Below are 8,959 nucleotides of genomic sequence, written 5' to 3'. Positions count from 1 at the left end.
AATAAAAATTAGCTGGGTGTGGTGTCCTGTAGTCCCAGCTACTCAGGAGGCTGAGGCAGGAGGATCACTTGAGTCTAGGAGTTGGAAGCTGCAGTGACTCGTGTTCGTGCCACTGCACTCCAGCATGAGTGACAGAGCAATACCCTGTCAAAAAAATAAAAATGAAAATCAACCTTATTGAATTATAACTTACATAAAATGAAATACACATGTCTGGAGTACCATTGGGTGATTTTGACAAATATTTATACCCACCACCACAATCAAGATATAGAAAATTTCATCACCCCCAAGATTTCCCCCTACTCCTTTGGAGTCAGTTCTCTTTCTCCCCTAGCCTCAGGCAACTACCGATCTGCTTCCTGTCACTATAGATTAGCTTTGCCTGTTCTAGAATTTCATACAAATGGAACCATATGGTGGAGTCTTTTGTGTCTGTCTTCTTTTGCTCACCACGCTGGTTTTGAGGTTCATTCATGTCTGTGTGTGTATCAATAGTTTATTGCTTTTGTTTTTGTTTTTGTTTTTTTTTTGAGGGAGTCTCACTCTGTCGCCCAGGCTGGAGTGCAGTGGCGCGATCTCGGCTCACTGCAACCTCCGCCACCCTGGTTCAAGCAATTCCCCTGCCTCAGCCCCGAGAGTAGCTGGGACTACAGGCGCGCACCACCACGCCCAGCTAGTTTTTGTATTTTTAGTAGAGACGGGGTTTCACCATGTTAGCCAGGCTGGTCTCGATCTCTTGGCCTTGTGATCTGCCTGCCTTGGCCTCCCACACTGCTGGGATTACAGGTGTGAGCCACCACGCCCAGCCAATAGTTTATTGTTTTTATTCTATTGCTCATATATGCCACAATTTGTTTATCCATTTCTCTGTTGGTGAACATTTGGGTTGTCTCCAGATTAGGGCCATTATGAAAAAGCATTCCTATACAAGTCTGTGTGTCAATACATGCTTTCATTTCTCTCGGGTAGCTATCTAGGTGTGACTGCTACACAGTTTTCCAAAATATGTGTATCATTTTATATTCTTTTTTTGTTTTTTTTTTAGACGGAGTCTCACTCTGTTACCCAGGCTGGATTGCAGTGGTGTGATCTCAGCTCACTGCAAGCTCCGCCTCCCAGGTTCATGCCATTGTCCTGCCTCAGCTTCCCAAGTAGCTGGGACTACAGGTGCCCACCACCATGCCTGGCTAATTTTTTTTGGATTTTTTTTAGTAGAGACGGGGTTTCAACGTGTTAGCCAGGATGGTTTCGATCTCCTGACCTTGTGATCCACCTGCCTCGGCCTCCCAAAGTGCTGGGATTTACAGGCATGAGCCACTGCACCCAGCCACCATTTTATATTCTTAACAGTCATATGTGGCAGTTCGCTTGCCCTACATTTTTGCTAACACTTGTTATTGTCAGACTTTTGCATTTTAGCCATTTTCATGGTTGTGAAGTCATATCTCACTGTGGTTTTAATTGCATTTATTGAATTGTGAAAGCTCTTTATATAGTACGGATACTAGTCCTTTGTTAGATATATGCATTGCAAGTATTTTCCCCCAGTGTCTGGCTTAATTTTTCATTTTCTTAACGGTGTCTTTTGAAGAAGAGAATTTTAAAGTTTTGATGAATTTCATGCCTATGAAATCTAGTATAAAATTTGGGCATGCATTTTGTATATCTTTTTAAACAATTAAACTTTTGACTTTGAGATAATTGTAAATTTGACATAATTGTAGATAGTTTCCTCCAATGGGAACATCTTGCAAAACTCTAATACAATAGCACCAGCAAAATATTGATATTAATACAGTCAAGGCTGGGCAAGGTGGCTCATGCCTGTGATCCCAGCACTTTGAGAGGCCAAGGCAGGTGGGTCATCTGAGCCCAGGAGTTCAAGTGCAGTGGTGCAATCACAGCTCACTGCACTCTACTCTACTCTGGATGGCAGAGTGAGACCCTGTCTCAAAATAATAATAATAATAATAATAATAATAATAATAAAATACAGCCAAGGTCCAGAACATTTTCACCAGCACAGGAATCCCTCTTTCTCCTTTCCTAACCACACCCATTTGCTCCCCAACCACGCCCTCCCCTTAACCTCTGGCAACCACCAATCTGTTCTCCATTTCTGTAATTTTGTCATTCAAGAACGTTATGTAAATAGAGTCATATAATATGTAAGCTTTAAGGATTCTTTTTACCACTTGGTGTAATTCTCTGCAGAGTCATCCAAATATCAATAGTTTGTTTCTTTTTGTTACAGAATAGTGGTTCCGTGTATGGATATAGCACAATTTGTTTAACCATCCACTTGTTGAAGGACATCTGGGTTGTTTACGATTTGGGGCTATTATGAATAAAGCTGCTATGAACATTTGTTTATAGGTGTTTGTATGAACATAAGTTTTTATTTCTCTGGGATAAATGCCCAGAAGTGCAACTGATGGTTCCAATGGTAGTTGCGTGTTTAGTTTTTACAGAAACTGCCAAACTGTTCCCCAGTGGCTATGCCCTTTTACATTCTAGCCAGCAGTGTATGCATGATTGAGTTTCCCTGTATTTTCTGGCTAACATTTGGTATTGTCACTATTTTTTTTTATTTTAGTAATTCTAATAGGTGTGTACTGATGTATCATTATGGTTTTAATTTGCACTTTCCTCATAGCTAATGATGTTGAACATTTTTATATGCTTTTTTGCCATCTGTATATCCTCTTCAGTGAAATATCTCTTTATGTCTTTTGCCCATTTTCTAATTGGATTTTTTAAAAACTTGTTGAGTTTTGAGGGTTCTTTATACATTCCAGAAACCAGTCCTTTGTCAGGTACCTAAGTTTGAAAATCTTTTCTATTCTGTAGCTTGTCTTTTCATCCTCTTGGGTCTTCTGCAGAGCAAAAATTTAAAATTTTGATCAAGTCCAATTGTGGTAGGCTGAATAGTGGCCCCTCAAAATATGTATACATCCTAATCCCTGGAACATGTAAAGGCTACATTTTATGGCAGATAAAGGAACTTTGCAGATGTGATCGCAGATGTGATTACGTTAAAGTTTTTTTTTTTTTTTTTGATAGGGTTTTACTCTGTCACTCGGGCTGGAGTGCAATGGTGCAGCTGCAGCTCACTGCAGCCTCAACCTCAGGCTTATGCGTTCCTCTCACGCCAGCCTCCTGAGTAGTTGGGACTACAGGTGGGCACCACCATGCCTGGCTAAAATTTTAAAATTTTTTTGTAGAGACTGGGTCTTGCTATGTTGCCCAGGCTGGTCTCGAACTCCTGGGCTCAAGTGATCCTCCTGCCTCAGCCTCCCAAAGTACTGCGATTACAGGCATGAACCACCATGCCCAGCAGGTTAAAGATCTTGAATTGAAAAGGTTATCTTGGATTATTGGGATGGGCCCTAAGTGCAATCACAAGTATCCTTATAAGAGAGAGGTAGAGGATGATTCAGTCCCGATGGAAGAGGGAAAGGCAATGTGACTGTGGAGGCAGAGATTGGAATGATATAACCACAAGCTATAGAACTCTGGTAGCCACCAGAAACTGGAAGAAGCAAGGAATGCATCCTTTCTTATAACCGACAAGGGCAGTATAGACCTACTGACATTTTGATTTGGGCCCAGTAATATTGATTTCAGACTCCTGGCTTCTGGAACTGTGAGAGAATATATTTCTGTTGTTTTAAACCACTAATTTTGTAGTAATTATTATAGTTCCCACAGGAAATTAATATATCACTTTGTCAACTTTTTCTCTTATGGATCATGCTTTTGGTCTTAAGTCTGCAAACTCTTTGCCTAGCCCTAGATCCCAGAGATTTTCTTCTATGGTGTTTTTTAAAAGTCTATCATTATGTGTTTTAGATTTAAGTTTGTGATCTATTTTGAGTTAATTTTGTATTAAGGTGTGAGGTTTAAGTTGGGGTTCATGTTTTTGCCCATGGGTGTCCTGTTATTCCAGCATCATTTATTGAAATGGCTATCTTTCCTCCTGTTTTAGTCAATTTGTGATGCTATAACAAAAATACTGGAGACTAGGTAATTTATAAAGAATGGAACTTTATTTCTCATAAGCTAAATTTTATTTAGTTCTGGAGGCTGAGAAGTCCAAGATCAAGGTGTTGGCAGGTTTAGTTGTCTGGTGAGGGCTGCCATCTGCTTCCAAGATGGTGCTATGTTGCTGCATCCTCCGGAGGGGAGGAACACTGTATCCTCACATGGTGGAAGGCAGAAGGGCAAGCAAGCTGAATGCTGCATGAAGAGAAGATTCTTTTATACAGGCCTTAATCCCATTCACCAGAGGAGCCCTCATGAACTAATCACCTCTTAAAGGCCCCACCTATTAATACAACCACTTTGGCCATAAAATGTTAATACCTGGATTTTGGAAGGAACACATTCAAACCACAGCACCTCTGTTGAATTGCTTTTGCACCTTTGACAAAAATCAGTTGGGCCAGGCATGGTGGCTCACGCCTGTAATCCCAGCACTTTGGGAGGTCAAGGCAAGCAGGTCTCTTGAGCCCAGGAGTTCAAGACCAGCCTGAGCAACATGGCAAAACCCCGTCTCTACAAAAACCAAAACCAAAACCAAAACAAAAAACAAAAACAAAAAAACCATAAAAATTAGCTGGGCACAGTGGCACGTGCCTGTAGTCCCAGCTACTTGGGAGACTGAGAGATGGGAGGAACACTTGAGCCCAGGAAGAGGAGACTGCAGTGAGCCATGATTACACCACTGCAACTCCAGTCTGGGCAACAGAGCAAGACCCTGTCTCAAAAATAAAAAAGAAAATCAGTTGGGCATATTTGTGTGGGACTATTCCTGGGTTCTTTATCCTATTTTACTGAACTATGTGTCTATCCCTCAACCAGGTGCTGTGGTTTGAATGCGTTCCTTCCAATACAGCATAGTCTTGATCACTATAGCTGTATATAAATCTTGAAGTTATAAACTGGGTAGACTGATTTCTCCCACTTTATCCTTCTTTTTCAAAATTGTTTTAGCTATTATAGGTCCTTTGCTTTCCATACAAATGTTATAGAAATCTTGTCTACATCTACTACAAAATAGCATGCTGGGATTTTGATAGAAATTTTATTAAATCTGAATATCAATTTGAGAAGACTCGCATCTTTTGAGTCTTCTAATTCATGAACACAATATATCTCTCTTTTGACATCTTCTTTGGTTTCTTTTATAAGTTTATAATTTTCAGCATATTATTTCAGTATATGTTTTGTTAGATTTAAACCTAAGCATTTCATTATTTTGGAGTGTTTATAAATGGTCTTATATTTTTAATTTTACTGGTCACTTGTTTATTGCTAGTATACAGAAATATAATTGTTTTTTGTATGTTAATCCTGTATTCTGTGACCTTACTGTACCCACTTATTCATTCTAGGAGTCTTTTGGTTTTGGTTTTGTTTTTTGGTAGATTCCTTGGTATTTTCTACGTAGATAATCATGTTATCTGTAAATATGAATAGTTTTATTTCTTTCTTGCTAGTCTGTATACTTTTTACTTACTTTTCTTGCCTTATTTCATTGGCTGGAATTCCCAATATTATGTTGAATAAGAATGGTGAGAGTGGACATCTTTTCTTTTTTTTTTTTTTTTTTTTTTGAGACGGTGTCTTGCTCTGTCGCCCAGGCTGGAGTGCAGTGGCGTGATCTCGGCTTACTGCAAGCTCTGCCTCCCGGGCTCATGCCATTCTCCTGCCTCAGCCTCCCGAGTAGCTGGGACTACAGGCGCCTGCCGCCACGCCCGGCTAATTTTTTGTATTTTTAGTAGAGACGGAGTTTCACCCTGTTAGCCAGGATGGTCTCGATCTCCTGACCTCATGATCCGCCCGCCTCAGCCTCCCAGAGCGCTGGGATTATAGGCGTGAGCCACCACGCCCGACCCTGAGAGTGGACATCTTTGCCTTGTTCCTGATGTTAGAGGAAAACATTCGGTCTTTTTCCACTAAGTGTAATGTTAGCTGTAGGTTTGTTTTTTGTTTGTTTGTTTTTTGAGATGGAGTCTTGCTCTGTCACCCAGGCTATAGTGCAGTGGCACGATCTCAGCTCACTGCAACCTCTGCCTCCCGTGTTCAAGTGATTCTCCAGCCGCAGGCTCCTGAGTAGCTGGGATTACAGGTGTGTGCCACCACGCCCGGCTAATTTTTGTATTTTTAGTAGAGACGGGGTTTCACCATGTTGGTCAGGCTGGTCTCAAACTCCTGACCTCGTGATCTGCTCGCCTCGGCCTCCCAAAGTGCTGGGATTACAGGCGTGAGCCACTGTGCCCGGCCTTTAGCTGTAAGCTTTTTGCAGGTTTTAAAAAATCAAATTGAGGAAATTATTCTCTTATTCCTAGTTTTCTGAGAGTATTTTTTAAAAATCATAACTGGATTTTGAATTTTGTAAATTTTTTTCTGTATAAATTGACATAATCATGTAATTTTTCTTCTTTAGCCTATTAATCTGGTAGATTACATTGGTTGATTTAAAAATATCGAACCAGCCTTGAATCCCTAGAAAAAAATCCCACTGGTCATGGCAGGGCAAGGGGCAAGACCTTTTCCCAGGTAAGATTTGTCTCGTGGCGAACTTTAGAAAGCAACTCCTCGATGTCTTATGTATTCTTTCAGTCTTTCCAGAAGATTGGGGTCTCCAAGACAAATGCAGTTTCTAATTGACACTCAGAAGCTGCCATACTTCCTGGGTTATTTGGGCTATAAAAGCGGCTTCATGGCCGGGCGCAGTGGCTCACGCCTGTAATCCCAGCACTTTGGGAGGCCGAGGCGGGTGATCATGAGGTCAGGAGTTTGAGACAAGCCTGGCCAACCTAGTAAAACCCTGTCTCTGCTAAAAATACAAAAATTAGCCAGGTGTGGTGTCACGCACCTGTAGTCCCAGCTACTTGGGAGGCTGAGGTGGGAGAATCGCTTGAACCCAGGAGGTGGAAGTTGCAGTGAGCCAAGACTGCGCCATTGCACTCCAGCCTGGGTGACAGAGTGAGACTCCGTCTCAAAACAACAACAACAAGAAAAGTGGCTTCATGCTGGGTGTGGTGGCTCACACCTGTAATCCCAGCACTTTTGGTGGCCAAGGCGGGTGGATTGTTTGAGCTCAGGAGTTTGAGACCAGTCTGGGCAACATGGCAAGACCCTGTCTCTACAAAAAATACAAAAATTATCCAGGTGTGGTGGTGCGTGACTGTAGTTCCAGCAACTAGGGAGGTTGAGGTGGAAGGGTCCCCTGAGCCGGGGAGGTTGAGGTTGTAGTGAGCTGTGATTGCAGCACTGCAGTGCAGCCTGGATGACAGAGTGAAACTCTGTTAAAAAAAAAAAAAAGTGGCTTCATTGTCACTATGGAGAGTTTGTGGGAATCCATATGGAGGAATTATTTCCTTCATTAGAGCCTTTACAACTTCGGCAGGTTTTTCAGTTCTGCTGAGTTAAACCTCAACCCAGCTGGCCCTCCCGACTCCTTGTTCCATGAAATTGCTTCCCTCGGTGAAGAATTCTTGGTTGGGTTCTGTTAATGGCAAATCTGTGGGGCCCAGTCTGCTGGAGTAAACTTGATCAATTATTTGAATGCAATCCTCAACAGGAGGCTGGAGGTTCCTTGGTAGCCGGGTGGCAGGATTAGGAGTAGAAATAACTTTAAGAGTTATATTTGGTTTATCTAGAAGCATGGTTTGGTGCTTTTCCAGCCCTGGCAGTCCACAATAGCCCCCTTCTGCTTGGGCAGGGGAAACACATAATGCATAGTATGTACCTTCATGGGCTGCTGAAAGGTGAACTTCTCAGCTTCCTGCAATATATCACAGGTGGCAGCCACTGCCCTTAGGCAGGTAGGCCAGCCCTTAGTTACCTTGTCAAGCTGTTTTATAAAGTAGGCCATGGGACATTTTAAGGTCCCAAGGTCTTGAGTTAATTCTCCAAGTCCAATTCCCTGTTTTTCTTGAACAAATAAATCAAAAGGTTGGTGTAGGTCAGGGAGACTCAGGGCAGGGGCTGTCATCAATTTCTCTTTAATGGTTAGAAAGGCATTTTGGCATTCTCTACTCCAAGAAAGGGGTTCCCTTTCTTCTTCTTTTAAAGTCTCCTAGAGAGGTTTGGCTATTAACCTGAAGTTAGGGATCTAAATTTGACAAAATCCAGGCATCCCTAAAGGACCACGTAGTTGTTTAAGGATACTGGAGACTGCCACCTGATTTATTGCCTCTGTGATCTGGGAGAAGATTGTGAGTCCCTTGAATCCCAGGTACTGAATGGTGGGATGAGAGATCTATGCCTCTTTCTTAGAAACCTTGTACCCTTTATCTGCCAGGAAATTTAAGACTTTGATGGCATGGAGGATGGAGTTACCCTCCATTTCACTGGCTATCAAGATATCATCTGCGTATTACAAAATAGTTCACATTAATTAACATGGAATTCTTAGGACTGTCGGATCTACATCTGTATATTTGTTTTCTTTTCTTTCTTTCTTTTCTTTTTCTTTTTCTTTTTTTTTTTTTTTGAGACAGAGTCTCGTTCTGTCACCCAGGCTGGAGTGCAGTGGTGCGATCTCGGCTCACTGCAACCTCTGCCTTCTGGGTTCAAGAGATTCTCCTGCCACAGCCTCCTGAGTAGCTAGGACTGCAGGCGTGCACCACCATGCCCAGCTAATTTTTTGTATTTTTAGTAGAGACGGGGTTTCACCATGCTGGCCAGGTTTGTCTCGAACTCCTGACCTCAAGCAATCCACCTGCCTTGACCTCCCTAAGTGCTGGGATTACAGGTGTGAGCCTCTGTGCCCGGCCTACATCTGTATATTTCTGATAAGCCTCCAAAATTCTTTCCAAAATGCTAATGGGTTCTCATCCACTTCTTGTCTAGATATAGTCATGGGAAATCAAAATTTGACCTCCCCCCAAAAAATAATAATAAAACAAAATTCAACCCCAGAATGCAGCCTGCTTGAGTAAAT

Source organism: Homo sapiens, chromosome 1 (genome assembly GCF_000001405.40).
Source record: "Homo sapiens chromosome 1, GRCh38.p14 Primary Assembly".
Classification (NCBI taxonomy): domain Eukaryota; kingdom Metazoa; phylum Chordata; class Mammalia; order Primates; family Hominidae; genus Homo; species Homo sapiens.
This window is presented reverse-complemented; position numbering follows the sequence as displayed.